Source organism: Homo sapiens, chromosome 19, assembly GCF_000001405.40.
Source record: "Homo sapiens chromosome 19, GRCh38.p14 Primary Assembly".
Taxonomy (NCBI): Eukaryota; Metazoa; Chordata; class Mammalia; order Primates; family Hominidae; genus Homo; species Homo sapiens.
In genome coordinates this window covers 6,982,390-7,000,246 of record NC_000019.10, presented here as the reverse complement: position 1 = coordinate 7,000,246, position 17,857 = coordinate 6,982,390, and the positions used below count along the sequence as shown (strand labels likewise).

The window sequence follows — 17,857 nt, the reverse complement described above, 5'->3', positions numbered from 1 at the left end:
CTGTACTGCTCTACCGAGGCAAGGTGAGATACCCAACGTAGAGATTGGAGAGGAAGGTCATCAACAGATTCTCCTATCCAACGGCTTCTGCTTTTGTTGTTTCTTAATTTGTTCATTGCAGCTCATGAGTCACGCTGCTGTCTGTATCCCTTTCTGGGACTTATTCAGATCCCTCAAGAGAGACACAGTCTGAATGGATTGGTCAGTCAATATTCAATATACAGAACTGTTTGAAGGTACACTTATCTTCTTGGCCATCTCATAAGTTGTTGTTTGCCATATGGACCAATCCATGTTCCAATCAGCTGTGGTTGGGAGGTAGAGTTAAATAATACCATGTCTGACAACAAGAGTGCAAATAACCTATTCCAGGACACCTTGGGAAGTGTCTCAGTTGGCCTTGGGTGTATAACAAACCATCCTCTCCCCATTGAATTTTTTTTTTCTTAAAATAACAACTATTTCATTTAATTCATGATTCTGTGGTCATTCTTCAGATCTGAGCTGGCTTGTTTGTTCCATTCATACGTGTTTATCAGTTGGTGGGTATGCTGGTTGAATAGATGATCTGACACGGCCTTACCCACACATGTGGTGATCGGCAGATTGGCAACCAAAGTGATGAATTATTGTCTATCAAGCCTTGGTTTCTTCAACATGGCCTCTTACACTCCAGCAGGCTAGCATTTTTTTTTTGCATCCTGTTAGCTGTTGTTTCATTGGCCAAAGCCAGTCACATGGCCAAGATTAGAGCCAGAGACTACACTTAAAGATAGAGAATTCTTCCATCCCATGGTGCAATCTATCGCGTGCAGAATTGGACTATGAGCACACAGAATGCTCAGAATTTCAGGGACTTCCTTTGGGTTTAGGCATTTCAGTTTTACATGCAGACAATTTTGTCTTCAGTACAGCTGACAATGGCAGGCTTAATCCGTCTTTCATTTGTCATTTAAAAGATGATGCAGCAGGCTGGGCGCGGTGGCTCACGTCTGTAATCCCAACACTTTGGGAGGCCGATGCAGGCGGATCACCTAAGGTTAGGAGTTCGAGACCAGCCTGGCCAACATGGAGGAAATCCCGTCTCTACTAAAAACACAAAAATTAGCTGGGCGTGGCGGTGTGTGCCTGTAATCCCAGCTACTGGGGAGGCTAAGGCAGGAGAATCGCTTGAACCCGGGAGGCAGAGGTTGCAGTGAGCCAAGATTGTGCCATTGCACTCCAGCCTGGGTGACAAGAGCAAAAGAAACTCCATCCCAAAAAAAAAAAAGATGATGCAGCAAACATTTTGAGTGGTACATGGAGGAGGTGATTACCAGCCCAGCTATCCAGCCATATCTATGTTATTATTTGCATAATTTATTGCATTTACTCATGAATTTATAAAAATAAATGGAAAACAGAAAGATGAAGGTGTTAACGTTAGGGATAATAAGACCACGTTTCATATATGTAATAAAATCAAGACAAGAAGTAAATTGCTTGATGTGTATTTGGACTTGCCAAATTAGGGCATATTTGCCATATTCATGCTGGATCTTACGAAGATTCTTCTTCTTTTTTTTTTTTTTTTTTTTTGAGATAGAATCTCGCTCTGTCGCCCAGCCTAGAGTGCAGTGGCGCAATCTCCGCTCACTGCAAGCTCCGCCGCCTCCCGGGTTCACGCCATTCTCCTGCCTCAGCCTCCTGAGTAGCTGGGACTACAGGCGCCCGCCACCATGCCCGGCTAATTTTTTGTATTTTTAGTAGAGATGGGGTTTCACCGCGTTAGCCAGGATGGTCTCGATCTCCTGACCTCGTGATCTGCCCGCCTCGGCCTCCCAAAGGGCTGGGATTACAGGCGTGAGTCACCGCGCCCGGCCACGAAGATTCTTCTAATACAAATGAGACAACAATTTCAGAATACCACCCTAATGAAACCGTTGAAAATCTTATCAGCCAAGTCTATCAGTGTAATTCTCTTCAATGGTACCATCCCAAAAACCAAGAATATGGATGAGTCATTTTCCCAAGTTGGTCAACTGGAATAGGAAATGAAGCAATACAAAGATATGCTGACTCCTTCCCACACTCTGGCCTTCAACTCTGGTAGTGAAAATTAAATTAAAAAGACCTCTTTGAAGTTGAACCCATATCCTTGGAAGTTGGCTTCACTCTCCATTATCCCTCTCCATTTCCCACTGATCACCATCACCATTTCCCCATTCATTTTCTGAGGCACTTTGATATGGTCCACCATGATAATGTACCACTTAAATTACGGCAGTGGAAAGAGAACTAATAGACCCTGCATTATGCAAACTCCCCAAACAACAACGCAGCCTCCGTGTCCACCCACAAGACTCCTTGAGAAACCGGAGCTCAAGATAAAGAGCGACGTACTTCCTCTTCTGTCAGTTCTGAAAAGCTACCAGACTCAGTGAGAGGCAAGGACTTTTCATCTTTAGGGTAAGTAGTATCTTCCTATAGAAAATAGGAAATATTTTACTTGTGATCATGAATCTAAGAAAAATATTCTGGTTCTGGAAACATTTTCAAGGAGGCCTCATTACATGTCCGGTTACTTTATTTCTTGAAAGCTGCTATGTCGGCTTCTATCTCACATTCATTTTTCCACTTCTGCTTGGGCAAGGAGTGTGTGTGTTGTTATGTGATACTCTGAAACCTGCTGGGATGCCTTATCACGCACAAAGAAGGGGGCAATGGTGTGGAAAGGGGCTTAAGGTGAACTAGAATGATCAAGATTCAAGAAGAGTCTAAGATGAACATAGCTTATAACGAACGTGTTATGAAAAACAAGGAAAACAAGATCTAAAAAGATGAGCGAGTTTCCTAAGTCTGTAGGGTGAATTAACAGCTTTTCCATACACCTGACACCCATAATGTACACATCAGCACATGTGTTTAAATGCCAGCCTCACAGTCATCATCATTATCATGGTGGAAGGGTTTTGTCCTTTATTCATGACCAAAGCAGAGGGATTTACATGTCAACTTTTTCAACCGGCTGGTTATGATCCACAGGAGGAGGCTGGTCCTCTTTAGTGGGTAACGACCACCATGGCACCACCTTAGTGGGTAACAACCAACAAGGCAACAAGCAGAAATGAAAACAACTATAATTATAAAATATCAGTCGCTGCAAACAGTGAGTTTCTTTGTGTGTGATCCTTGGCTCAGTTCTCTGTGTCTGCCTCTCTTTCTCTCTGATGTGAAATTCTTTTCTCACAATTGGTTATGGCCGAAAGTCCCCTACAAATCAGCATCTCTAGAGGCCTCGGCTGTTGTGAAAAATCTTACCACCTTTTTCCTTTCAAAATACTCACTTTAGTTAAACTTGTTTCAAATCAGGCCTCAGCAAAGAAATGCCCTTACCTGGACAGGGGTTCTTTTCATTGAGAATTTTCCAGTTATATTTTAGAGTGGACTTTTTGAAGGGTGGAGCAACATGACTCTAAAAAGAAGACAAATTTTGAAAGAGGAAAGGTATCCAGAAAGTAATCAAGTATAACTCCACCAATGGGACACAAGATTCCCGCAACAGAAATTGATTTCAGTGAAGTAGTATTGTCTACTGCAGAGATTGAAAGTGGTTGGTCTCCTGGTTCTGTATTTAAGGAAAAAGTGGGTGTGGGTGTCTCTAGATAGCCTTTGGTCTCCAGTTCCCCACAGTCCTTATTACGTCCCACCAATGGCCTTATGTATTTATGTCGCATGTCTAGATCTTGGTAGACACTGGAGTTTATGATCTTGGTGAGGTGGTTGTGCATGGGCTTTGGACTCAAGCTGACATTGTCCAAATCTTAGCTTTGTATTTTCCTAGCAGCACAATCTTAAGCAAATGATATCATTGTTTTGAACCTCAATTTCCTCATCTGAAGACTTAGGAGATAATTATAAGACCTACATCATGGCCGGGAGCGGTGCCTCACACGTGTAATCCCAGCACTTTGGGAGACCAAGGTGGGGGGATCACCTGAGGTTAGGAGTTCCAGACCAGCCTGGCCAACGTGGTGAAACCCCGTCTCTACTAAAAATACAAAAATTAGCCGGGCGTGGTGGTACACACCTGTAGTCCCAGCTACTCGGGAGGCTGAGGCAGGAGAATTGCTTGAGCCCGGGAGGCAGAGGTTGCAGTGAGCTGAGCTCGCACCACTGGGTGACAGAGAGAGACTCCGTTTCAAAAGAAACCTACATCACAAGATGGTTGTAGCTTTCAATAAGATAATAGCCACAGAGTTCTTAAGGCACTTGGCCCATAGTAGAAGTTCCGTAAGTGATTTTAGGAGGCAGTAATGGAAGGGGTGAGAGAAGCATCTGCAGCAAAATTTGACTTGCAAGAGGATTCCAGTGCATGATGTGCAGCTGCCTGCTTGGGAATAGGGGGTTCCATGGGATGGGTCTTCTTAGGCCACTACTGTGTTCCTGTGGGGACTTCACAGGACCCTCGTTAATTCTCATTACCACTGGGTAAAAGGTCAGTCCTTAGCATGCAAAGTTGTGATTACAATTGGCACCAGGGAAGGGACATGAGAGATCTCCATGACCGCTTTCATCACCATCATCAGCATCAGCATTACTGTCACTTCCACCATCCTTGCCACCATCACCACAACCATGCAGTCCCTCTTCGCTATTACCATCACTGCCATCACCACCACTGTCATCACCGTCACTATCAGCACCACCATCACTATCGTCATCGTCACCACCATCACCGTTACTACCACTGGCATCACCACCACCAAGACCATCATCATCACCATCACCACTATCACCATTACCACCATCACCATTAGTACCACCATCACCATTGCCACCATTCCTATCACTACCATCACCATTATTACCACCACCATCACCATTGACACCATCACCACCATCACCCTGATTACTACCATCACCCTTGCCACCATCACTGTCACCACCATCACCATCACCACCATCACTGTCACCACCATCACCATCACCACCACTTTTGCCACCATCACTATCACCATTACTATCATGTCCACCATCATAACCACTGTCAGTACCATCACCACCACTGCCACCTTCATCACTACCTCCACCATCATTATGATCTCCACTCCCATCACTACCATCACCATCATGACCACTACTATCACATCCACCACGACCACCACCACCACTACCACCATCATCATCCTTCCCACTTCTCTTCACAGGTAGCTTTATTCAGGACTTACCATGTGCCGGCAGGTCTGAAGGGTCATCTCACTGAATCAGCATGAAACTGTAAAATATGTGCTCTTTCTTAGCTACGTTTTGCAGACGAGAGGCTTGGAGGTAAAGTCACAACCTCAGGGCCACTTAACTAGTAGTTGTAGATTTGGGATTCAAACCCAGGTTTGCCTGTGCACCAAATTCTAAAGCCATCTGACAGTGTATGGCCAGCAAGTAACTGTGCGTGAAGCATGGAGGGAGAACTGTCACATAAACACACAGGCAGCCCCAACAGATTCCAAACTCAGAGATCAAAGCAGCATGAATATATCAAAGCAGGAGTATAGACCTCCCAAGAAGAGTTTTTAAAGTAATTTTGTGGCCGGGTGCGGTGGCTCACGCCTGTAATCCCAACACTTTGGGATAATGAGGTGGGTGGATCACTTGAGGTCAGGAGTTCGAGACCTGCCTGGCCAACATGGTGAAACCCGTTCTCTACTAAAAATACAAAAATTAGCTGGGTTTGATGGTAAGTGCCTGTAATCCCAGCTGCTTGGGAGGCTGAGGCAGGAGAATTGCTTGAACCTGGGAGGTGGAGGTTGCGGTGAGCCAAGATTGCACCACTGTACTCCAGCCTGGGTGACACAGTGAGACCCTGGCTCAAATAATAATAATAATAATAATAATTATTATTATTATTATTATTTTGTTTCCTCTTTTATTAAAACGCTTCATTATATTATTTTTATTGCTAAGGCAATGTACATAATTTAGAATTACAGCTGAAAAAAGAGAAATTTAAAATCACTCATACTGACATTCTTCTATTAACATTTAAGATTCTCTTACATGTAATATACTTTCTTTATAACCTACATTTTGTATTGATACATAATAGTGGCACATATTTATGAGTTACATATGATATATTTTGATACATGCATACAATGTGTAATGACAGAATAATATAACCTCCTTTTGCTCCTAATGCTACGTCATAATCACTTTCTATGGTTGTTTATTTATTTATTTATTTTGAGACAGAGTCTCGCTCTGTCACCCAGGCTGGAATGCAGTGGTTTGATCTCAGCTCACTGCAGCCTCCACCTCTTAGGTTCAAGTGATTCTCATGTCTCAGCCTCCCAAGTAGCTGGGATTACAGGCACTCACCACATTGCCCGGATAATTTTGTGTTTTTAATAGAGACGGTGTTTCACCATGTTGGTCAGGCTGGTCTCAAACTCCTGACCTCAAGTGATCTGCCCGCCTCTGCCCTCCAAAGTGCTGGGATTATAGGTGTGACCCACCGTGCCCGGCCCTATGTTGTTCTAATAGCCTCCTACAACATTATTTTTGCATGTGATATCAGATTGTTTGCATTACACGTAATTGTTGTTTTCCTTCCTGCTTACATTTTGTGAAACTTTTCTGCAAACTACTTAAAGCATCTTCTCCATCAGTGCCTCCCTCATCATTGGCAGCGCCTTTGAAAGGCTTCACAGATCTGCAGAGCACAATATCTTTGCTAATGTGCACTGGAGGTTTTATCTTAAACCCCAATTGGCCACCGACATTACCTTAGGAGAGTGCTTTCTGCATTTTAAATTGATATCCATAGGCCAACGCTTACTAAAATGATCCTTAAAGTCTTCTTTGAAAGACTCATTTAGGCCTGGCTTGGTGGCTCACGCCTATAATCCCAGCACTTTCGGAGGCCCAGGTGGGTGGATCACCTGAGGTCAGGAGTTCAAGACCAGCCTGACCAACACGGTGAAACCCTGTCTCTACTTAAAAAATACAAAAATTAGCCAGGCGTAGTGGCGGGAGCCTGTAATCCCAGCTACTCGAGAGGCTGAGACAGGAGAATTGCTTGAACCCAGGAGGCGGAGTTTGCAGTGAGAAGAGATAACGCTATTGCACTCCAGCCTGGGCGACACGGTAAGAAAGGCTCATTTATAGTAATGTCTAGTACTTCCACTATTTTCTCTGTTAGAAATGATTTATGTTTTGAACAGAAAAGATCTTCACTTGGCTCAAGATTCAAAAGATAGAAGAGGGTAAACTGAAAAGTCTCCTTGCCTCGGCTTCCCAGCCACTTGCTTTCTTTCTCTCTTTTTAAAATATCTTGTTTTATTTTCGGCTGAGCGCAGTGGCTCACGCCTGTAATCCCAGCATTTTGGGATTGGGAGGCTGAGGAGGGCCAGCCTGGCCAACATGGCGAAACCCTGTCTCTACTAAAAACACAAAAAATTAGCCAGGCGTGGTGGCAGGTGCCTGTTATCCCAGCTGCTGGGGAGGCTGAGGTAGGAGAACCGCTTGAACCCGGGAGGCGGAGGTTGCAGTGAGCCGAGATAGGGCCATTGCACTCCAGTCTGGGCGACAGAGTGAGACTCCGTCTCAAAATAAATAAATAAATAAATAAATAAATTTTACTTTATTTTAAGTTCCAAGATATATGTGCAGGACGTGCGAGTTTGTTACATAGGTAAACATGTGCCATGGTGGTTTGCTGCACCTATCAATCCATCACCTAGGTATTAAGCCTCGCATACATTTGTTTTCAAAAGCAACCGATGCTATGAGTTTCTTAGGTACCTTCCAGGAATATTTTATGCAAATACAAAATTATCATACATATATACATGCATTTGATGCATTTATATGTTTGTACATTTGTATGTATGATTTTGTATATACACATATAAATACACATACATGCATATATGGATAATTGTATATAGAATGCTAACATTTTCCTAAAACAGATAGTAACCTTTTATATAAATATATATTAAATATATATTTAATATTTATTAATATATTAATGTATTAATGTATTATATTAATATATTAATGTATTAATGTATTATATTAATATATCAATGTATTAATGTATTATATTAATATATCAATATATTAATGTATTATATTAATATATCAATATATTAATGTATTATATTAATATATCAATGTATTATATTGATTTAGTATATTAATATATTGATGTATTACATTAACATATTATATTAATATATTAATTTTATTATATATTAATAATATATTATATATTAATAATATATTATATATTATATTATTTTCACCATGTTGACCAGGCTGGTCTTTAACTCCTGACCTCAGGTGATCCGCCCACCTCGTTCTCCCAAAGTGCTGGGATTAAAGGTGTGAGCCACTGTTCCCGGCCTATATTGTGTATTTCAAAATGGCTGAAAGAGTAGATTTTAAAAGTTCTCATACCGAAAAATGATAGGTATGTGAGGTGATACATACGTTAATTGTCTTGATATAATCATTCCACAATGTCAGCCGGGGGCGGTGGCTCACGCCTGTAATCCCAGCACTTTGGGAGGCCGAGGCGGGTGGATCACAAGGTCAGGAGATCGAGACCATCCTGGCTAACATGGTGAAACCCTGTCTCTACTAAAAATACAAAAAATTAGCCGGGCGTGGTGGCGGGCGCCTGTAGTCCCAGCTACTCGGGAGGCTGAGGCAGGAGAATGGTGTGAACCCGGGAGGCGGAGCTTGCAGTGAGCCGAGATCGCGCCACTGCCCTCCAGCCTGGGCGACAGAGCCAGACTCAATCTCAAAAAAAAAAAAAAAATCATTCCACAATGTCAAAACATATTATAGCCCATAAGCATATATAATTATTTATGAATTTAAAAATTAAATATAAACAAATCAATGACAGCAATGTAAAAAAAAAATAATAATAAATAAATAAAAAGTGAGTAGTTTGTCCTGTGGAGTTTTGCAGTCTTGATCTTGCCGACTGCGATAGAACAGGATTTTAAATTCCAGCCTTATATTTCCTCAGATGCATCCGTTTTTTTTAGCATTTGTTGGGTGATAAACTTGTTCCCTATAACCAAATACGCTAAGATCATCCTCGCAGGGTGTTTTCCTTGAGAGAGTTACCCAGAGGCAGAATTATTGGGTCAAACGAGAGGGAGAGATTAAAGGGTTTTTTTTGTTTGTTGGTTGGTTTGTTGGTTTGTTGGTTTCGAGATGGAGTCTTGCTCTGTCGCCCGGGCTGGAGTGCGGTGATGCGATCTCGGCTCACTGCTACCTCTGCCTCCTGGTTTCAAGCAATTCTCCTGCCTCAGCCTTACATTTTGATAAGCACTGGCCACGGGGCTTCTGAACTTGGGACCATCAGAAATTGGATTTCATGAGGTTTATTTGTTCCAGGCATTCTGACCACGTCCTGCTTCAGAGAGATTGTTCCCGGCGTCTCAGTGCTATGGGGAGCAGGTTCCTCCTGGTCCTGCTCTCAGGTAAGTGGAGCAAAGAACTCCCTTTCCTTCTCCTCATGCCCCTGGTGTCCTCGCTTGATTTGCTTCCTCAAATTTGGCATTTTCTCCAGCAATAACTGCGTGTGCCTGTCCTAGTAGAAACTCTCCTCTTGAGTCAGTTAGGCTGGGCTGCCCCAAAGCAGAACGAAAACAAGGACTCATGTGTGTAAATAGTTTTTTTGGGAGGGGATCCCAGGAAAGGAGGGTGTGGGGAGGCCACGCAAGAAAGAGTGAAGAGCACTTTAGGAGGCCAAGACGGGTGGATCACTTAAGGTCAGGAGTTTGAAACCAGCCTGGCCAACATGGTGAAACCTCGTCTCTACTAAAAATAAAAAAAAAGTTAGCCGGGCGTGGTGGCAGACGCCCATAATCCTAGCTACTCTGGAGGCTGAGGCAGGAGAATCACTTGAACCTGGAAGGCAGAGGTTGCAGTGAGCCAAGATTCCGCCACTGCACTCCAGCCCTGGATGACAGAGTGAGACTCTGTCTCAAAAAAAAAAAAAAAAAGAAAGAAAGAAAGAAAGAACGAAAAAGAAAGTCATCTGCATTTATAGGAACCCTCTCTGGGGTAGGCTAAAGGGTCACTTCGAGTATCTGCTACATGGATTGACACCAAATGGGTCCGCACTTGGAGCGTCATAGCTCAGTAAGTTACAACCTAGACCTTCCCACCCTGTCCTCTGGGCTTTAGGGTCTTAGAGATGAGAAAAAGAAATCTCCATAGGAGGCATCAGATGCAGTTTAAGGATGGAAGGTTTGTTAAGAGACCTTACAGGTAAGTGATGTTCCATACTCTATGTAAGGGGCAAGCATATTTTTTTCTGTAAAGGGACAGGTAATTTGAATTTCAGCTTTGTGGCCCGTATGGTCTCTGTCTTAACTACTCAACTCAGCTATTCCAGCCCTAAAGCATCCATAGACCTCATGTAAATGAATGGATGTGGCTGCGTGTCAGTAAAACTTTATTTACAGACATAGGCAGCTAAAATTCACATGGTTTTCATGGCCATTAAGTATTCTTCTTCTTTTGTTTTTTTCCAACCATTTAAAATGTTTTATGTAAAAAATATAAAAGTCACCTCAACTCATAAGTCCAGTTTGCTGTCCCCTACCCTATGGGAATCAAGTGATATTTCTCTCTGAAAAAAAATTATTCACAGGAAAATTGGTGTTGAGTGTTTTAGGTCATAAAAATGTCCATGTCAGCCAGGCGTGGTGGCTCACAGCTGTAATCCCAGCACTTTGGGAGGCCGAGGTGGGCGGATCACAAGGTCGGGAGTTGGAGACCAGCCTGGCCAACATGGTGAAACCCCATCTCTACTAAAAATACAAAAATTAGCCGGTCATGGTGGTGGGTGCCTGTAATCCCAGCTACTTGGGAGGCTGAGGTGGGAGAATTGCTTGAACCCAGGAGGCGGAGGTTACAGTGAGCTGAGATCGTGCCACTGCACTGCAGCCTGGGCGACAGAGCAAAACTCTGTCTCAAAAGACAAAAAATTGTCGGTAATGGAAAATTTAAAAGGACCTATGGGGTTTCCATTATATTTTTCTCGGACAGTGTGTGGTTCGAGGTCTGGACTGATATTAAAATAAACTGTTGAATATGGAAAGGAGATTGCCAACTTGGTCTTTTGGTGCTAGGATGTAGAGAAGAAGCTGAATTTGCTGCTGAGTTTTCTGAAATTGGGAAACACAGCTGCAATCAGATGCACTTCTCATACTTCAGAAGGATGTGATGTCCAAATCTGTGACTCTTGTGTTTGTAACCTGCCTGGAAGATGCTATGGTGAAGCTTGCACGTGTGACTGGGCAAAGAGTTAGGGTTAGTTGCCCCTAACTCACCTAGTCTTCAGCCACGCAGAGTCCAGGGGATCCCCGTCTGAATGATCCCCTCCTCTCTCTGTTCCAGGTCTCACTGTCTTACTGGCTCTGCCAGGATCAGAAGCCAAGAATTCTGGAGGTGAGTCTATTCATAGCCAAAGGCCAGGGGAAAGGAAATTGGGATCTGGAAGCTTCCTTTGGAGGAGGGAAGGAGCTTTTTCAAGAGACAGAGCATGGAGTCTCTGGCACTTTCTTCTGACTCTTTGGAGGTCCCAAGAGCTGTTTTCCCATCTCCATCATCACCATCATCTGCATTTACATAGCAAAGCACATCACACGTGCCATCTCAGTTAATCCCCACAACAATCCTACAAACTCAGCATGGGCATTATACCCACTTGATCAAGGGTCCTCCAGAGAAGTGGCTGGCTCAAGGTCACATGGCTGGTGGATGCTAGACTGTCCTCTTTCTTTCCCCAAACCTGTGTCTTGAGTCATTCCAGGAAATACTTTGCCTTCACCACAAGTCATTGCTTGGGTTCCCCCAGAAGCCGACCCTGAGAGCAACTCGTTGTTCTGGGAGGGAATCCTAGGAGGCACCAGCTGGGAGTGGGCAGTGGCATAGGAAGGGGAGGAGCTCATATAGGATCTTTATCAAGCAAGTTAGATGCGGGCAGCTGGAGTTTAATCCCTGGAGGCAGCTGTTGGGTATGGCATGGAGCAGGCACCTCAGATTTGTACCCCTCAATGGGTAAGGAAGCTATTGATTATGACTATGTTCTAAATTGTGGTAAAATGTACACAACGTAAAATGTAGCTTTTTAACCATTGTCAAGGGTACAGGTCAATGCCATTCAACATTTGCACTGTTATGCAACCATCACCACCATCCACCCACAGTGTTCTTTCTAGTTGCAGAACTGAAACTCTGTCTCTATGAAACACGAACTCCCCATTCCTCCTCCCCAAGGCCCTGGCACCCGCCATTCTACTTTCTGTCTCTATGAATCCAGCAACTCTGGGATTGGATCTCATAGGAGTGGAATCATACATTATTTGACGCTTTGTCCTGGCTTATTTCATGGAGCATAATGTCCTCAAGGTTCGTTTATGGTGTAGCATGTGTCAGAATTTCATTCCTTTTGGCCGGGCGCGGTGGCTCACGCCTGTAATCCCAGCACTTTGGGAGGCCGAGGCGGGTGGATCATGAGGTCAGGAGATCGAGACCATCCTGGCTAACAAGGTGAAACCCTGTCTCTACTAAAAATACAAAAAATTAGCCGGGCGCGGTGGCGGGCGCCTGTAGTCCCAGCTACTCGGGAGGCTGAGGCAGGAGAATGGCGTGAACCCAGGAAGCGGAGCTTGCAGTGAGCCGAGATTGCGCCACTGCAGTCCACAGTCCGGCCTGGGCGACAGAGCGAGACTCCGTCTCAAAAAAAAAAAAAAAAAAAAAAAAAAAGAATTTCATTCCTTTTTTTTTTTTTTTGAGACTGAGTTTCACTCTTGTTGCCCAGGCTGGAGTGCAATGGTGCAATCTTGGCTCACTGCAACCTCCACCTCCCGGGTTCAAGCGTTTCTCCTGCCTCAGCCTTCCAAGTAGCTGGGATTATAGGCATGCACCACCATGCCAGGCTAATTTATTTATTTATTTATTTTGCATTTAGTAGAGACGAGGTTTCACCATGTTGGTCAGGCTGGTCTCGAACTCCTGACCTCAGGTGATCCACCCACCTTGGCCTCCCAGAGTGCTGGGATTACAGGCATGTGAGCCAACATGCCCGGCCAGAATTTCCTTCTTTCTAAAGGCTGAATAACGTACTACTGTGTGGATGGACCACATTTTGTTCATTCATTTATTCATTCGTGGGCACCTGGGTTACATACAACATTTGGCTATTATGAATAATGCTGATATGAACATGAGTGGACAAATATCTCTTCTATACACTGCTTTTGATTCCTTTGCATATATTCCCAGAAGTGTGATTGCTGGATCATATGGTAAGATCATATGGTAATTCTGATTTAGAATTTTTTGAGGAATTGCCATACTGTGTCTCATAGACAGTGCATCATTTTACATTTCTACCAGCAGTGCACCAGGGTTCCATTTTCTCTACATTCTCACCAACACTTGTTATTTTCTGTTTTTTTTTTTTAAATAATAATGAAATTGGCTTTTTTTTAATGCACTATCTTCTATCAATCATTGATAAAGGGAGCTACTTAGGAAAGGCATTGTTAACCTGCCATGTGATGAACAAAGAGAATTCTGGTAGCCAGGGTTAGCCTGCAAGGAAAGAAACACAGGTGCCGGCATTTGGAGGTTCACCTATCTGGCAAAAGTGGTGTTGGTGGCAGAAGTGGGACACGGCTGGGCACTGTGTGCCACTGTGTTCAGCAATGGGCTGGGTGCCAAAAGGATGCCAACAGAGGCATTCCTAAGATGACATTCTTCTGACCGCAGCATCGGTACGTGGTAGATGCATACTGAATATTTCTGTTTCTCTGCAGCTTCCTGTCCTCCATGCCCTAAATATGCCAGCTGCCACAACAGCACCCACTGTACTTGTGAAGATGGCTTTCGGGCCAGGTCTGGCAGGACATACTTTCATGATTCCTCTGAGAAGTGTGAAGGTAAAAATATTAACGGGGTTTTAATTTAATCTCTCATTAGTGATAACTATTCTGTTCCATGTGTCCTCTGCCCAAAACACATAAACCCATAGCCCAAATAAAACCCGTACCTCTTCAGCAGACTATTTGACAAAGTACAGCCATTGGCCAGGTGTGCTTGTCCCTGAGTCCTTCAGATGGAGAGCACAAGTATAAGTCTGTGGTCCAGAGCACCTTCTGCCTGTGGGTCCCTTGCTTGAACCTCAGCTCTGGTCCATTCAGCACGGAAGGCTGATGTGGTTGGGAGAGGCAAGACACATAAACATTGCATAAGTCACTGTTGCCCAGGCTGGAGTGCAGTGGCGCGATCTCTGCTCACTGCAAGCTCCGCCTCCTGAGTTCACGCCATTTTGCTATCTCAGCCTCCTGAGTAGCTGGGACTACAGGCGCCTGCCACCATGCCTTGCTAATTTTTTGTGTTTTTAGTAGAGACGGGGTTTCACCATGTTCGCCAGGATGGTCTCAATCTCCTGGACTCGAGATCCGCCCGCCTCGGCCTCCCAAAATGCTGGGATTACAGGTGTGAGCCACCGTGCCCCGCCTTTTTTTTTTTTTTTTTTTTTTTTTAGTCAGAGCCTCACTCTGTTGCCCAGGCTGGAGTGCAATGGCGCGATCTCAGCTCACTGCAACCTCCGCCTCCTGGGTTCAAGCGATTCTCCTGCTTCAGCCTCCTGAGTAGCTGGGATTACAGGCACGTGCCACCACACCCAGCAAAGTTTTGTATTTTTAGTAGAGACAGGGTTTCACCATGTTGGCCAGGCTGGTCTCGAACTCCTGACCTCAGGTGATCCACCCGCCTCAGCCTCCCAAAATGCTGGGATTACAGGCGTGAGCCACCGTGCCCGGCTGAGCCAGGATTTTAGTAGTGTGGTCCTTCCTCATCTCTCTCAAGCTTTTCTAATAGTGTGTTAACTTACCGTATATTTATTCCCCTGCTATGCACTATGTGTGTTAAATTGATTTAGCAAATGGCGTGACTTAAAAACAACATTAAAAACAGCAACATTCCATCCTTATTCTAGTGATTTGACATGCCACCTTTACCATGTTCTAAAGCTCCATAGGTACTTGCATCTGTGTCTGGACTTCTAGTCTATTCCATTAGTCTATTTTTATTTATGCATGCATCAGTACCTCTTTGTTTAGTTGCAGCTTTATACTTTGTTTTAATGTCTGGTTCCCACCTTGTAGTTTTTTCTGGCTACACCTGCATGATAGTAACAACTTGTCTCTCACCCCGTAAAATACATGTAGATGTTTTTAAAATTGGAATTGCATTGGATTTATAAATTAACTTAGGGAGAACATTGATGGACAATGGTTGGGCAATAAAAATTTCATGGGCAAGGGAAATGGTATAATTCTATGAAAATGAAAGCAACACTTTCTCTTGATTCACAGATATTAATGAATGTGAAACCGGGCTGGCAAAGTGCAAGTATAAAGCATATTGTAGGAATAAAGTTGGAGGTTACATCTGTAGCTGTTTGGTAAAATATACTTTATTCAACTTTCTGGCTGGTATTATAGATTATGATCATCCGGATTGTTACGGTAAGAACCTCCAAATCCTATTTCCACTATGAAAAATGGTGGGGACTTGGGGGAGACTCTGAGAGATTCTCTAATTTCAGGCCAGGGTAAGAGTGCAAAGCTCCATCCTAACCCTCGTCCCTCATTCCTTTGTTGTCTTTGATGATATTTTCCAAGATGGTGTCATCCAAGCCTTGGCATCAATAACTATCTCTATATAGATGCTTCCAAATGTATGTGTCCAATACAGGTCTGTTTCCTGAGCTTCCAAAAGGGCAGCTCTAAATTTCTTCTGAATTTCTCTATTTATTCATCTCTCACTCACCTTAAATTCAATTTTTATGTCTATCTACCTATCTACTAAATCTGACGAATTCACACTGATACCTCTGGTTCCAGTTCAACATCAAGGCTTGTCGGAAACTTCCCTCTTTCCTTATTTGTAGCTTCCTTCTCCAACAATGAGAAACCTGTCTCTCACTATCCACAATTTATTTATTTGTTTAATTCCAGTATTATTTCACTTTTTGGGTAAGAGAGATGGGATTTAAGTGCTAAATCTTCCACTTACCATCTGGTTTTCAGTTAATGACTTAATTTCTATATACCTCATCTTTAAATGGGAGTAGTAATATTAATAGTATCTACTGTGTCAGTTCTGTGTTGCTGCATAACAAGTTATCCCCAAATTTAGTGGCCTAAAACAACACATATGTATTGTTTCATAGTTTCTTTGGGTTAAGGAACTAAGCATGGCTTAGCTGAGTCTTTTGCTTCTGGGTCTATCACAGTTGCAATTGAGGTTTTATCCAGGCTGTGGTTTCATCTGGAGACTCGACTGGGGCAGGTTCTGCTTCCAAGCTACTCACAAGGTTGCTGGGAGAATTTAGTTCCTTCAGAGCTATTGGACTGAAACCCTCAGTTCATTTCTGGTGGCTGGTGGGAGGCAGCCTTTAGTTCCTAGATATGTGGGTCTCTACAGCTTGCTTTGTTATAGCAAACACATTAGAATAGCCAGAAAGAGAGCATGAATAAGACAGGAGTCATAGTCTTTTATAACCCACTCTCAGAAGTGACATCCTATCATGTTTGCCATATTCTGTTCCTTAGAAATGAGTCACTTAGTCCAGTCCACAGTCAAGGGAAGATTACCCAAGGATGTGAATTCCAAGAGGCAGGGATTATTTGGAGCCATTTCTGATTCCTTCTTACTGGGCTGAATAGTGTTCTCCCCAAACTGATTCCACCTGGAATCTGTGAATGTGATCTTATCTGGAAATAGGGTATTTGTAGATGTAATAAGTCAAGATGTGGTCATATTAGATCAGAGTGGACCCTGAATCCTACATGACTGGTGTCCTTATAAGATGAAGGATATTTGGACACAGAGACACACACACAGGGAAGATGGCCATGTGAAGACAGAGGTGAAGATTGGAATTATGCTGCCAAAGGGCAAGGAATGTCAGAGATTGATGGCAACCACCAGAGGCTGGAAGAGGCAGGGCAAGGTGTTTCCCTGGAGCCTTCAGAGGGAGCATGGTCTTGCTGGCATCTTGATTTGGACTTCTGCCCTCCAGAACTATGAGACAATATATTTCTATTGCTTTAAGCCACCCAATTTGTGTCACTATATTATGGAAACCCTAGCAAATTAATACACCTTACCTATTCATTATTATTATTTTTGAGATGCGGTCTCACTCTGTTACCCGGGCTGGAGTGCAGTAGTGTGATCTTGGCTGACTGCAACCTCTGCCTCCCAGGCTCAAGCGATCCTCCCACCTCAGCCTTGAGTAGCTGGGACCACAGGCATGTGCCACCACACCTGGCTAATTTTTGCATTTTTGGTAGAGACAGGGTTTCACCATGTTGCCCACACTGGCCTTGAACTGCTGACCTCAAATGATCCGCCCGCCTCGGCCTCCCAAAGTACTAGGATTACAGGCGTGAGCCACTGCACCCGGCCCCTACTCATTATTAATGTATGTGAAATATTTAACAGTCCTAGGCACCTAGGAAGGGTCAGTTAATACTGGATATTATGCTGTATATGCCTTTTCTACAACCTTCAGTGTTCCTTGAAATGAGATAATATATATGAAGGCACGTTATATACTGTGATGTGTAGGCAACTGCTTCTATAATATTAACTCAATTAACACTGATTTCTTCCATGTCACCCTGATGTGTTGGGACCCTCTGCTATATACTCCCACACCATTGTGTCCTATTTATTATTGATTGATTGATTTTGGGAAGTCCTGTTTTATTTTATTTTAGGTTTGGGGGTGGTACATGTGCAGGTTTGTTGCGTGGGTAAATTG

The 17,857-nt window shown here is 43.6% G+C and overlaps 1 pseudogene across 2 annotated transcripts in view, besides 1 other annotated feature; it reads left to right on the top strand.

Annotated features, from left to right (window-relative positions):
- Positions 1 to 2,395: 2,395 nt before the first annotated feature.
- The window catches only part of ADGRE4P (adhesion G protein-coupled receptor E4, pseudogene), a 47,094-nt pseudogene continuing 31,632 nt past the window's right edge, over positions 2,396 to 17,857 (top strand). For both annotated transcript variants that reach the window (NR_024075.2, NR_174976.1), the window contains exons 1-5: positions 2,396 to 2,448; positions 9,397 to 9,482; positions 11,410 to 11,460; positions 13,836 to 13,958; positions 15,399 to 15,551. The product of NR_024075.2 is annotated as an adhesion G protein-coupled receptor E4, pseudogene, transcript variant 1 (transcript). The remainder of the gene's footprint in view (positions 2,449 to 9,396; positions 9,483 to 11,409; positions 11,461 to 13,835; positions 13,959 to 15,398; positions 15,552 to 17,857) is intronic.
- Positions 12,226 to 12,285: a silencer, noted in NCBI's record as "silent region_9970". NCBI's record gives its function as "represses an Ori minimal core promoter by ATAC-STARR-seq in GM12878 lymphoblastoid cells {active_cell/tissue: GM12878}" and the evidence as "EXISTENCE:reporter gene assay evidence [ECO:0000049][PMID:35858748]".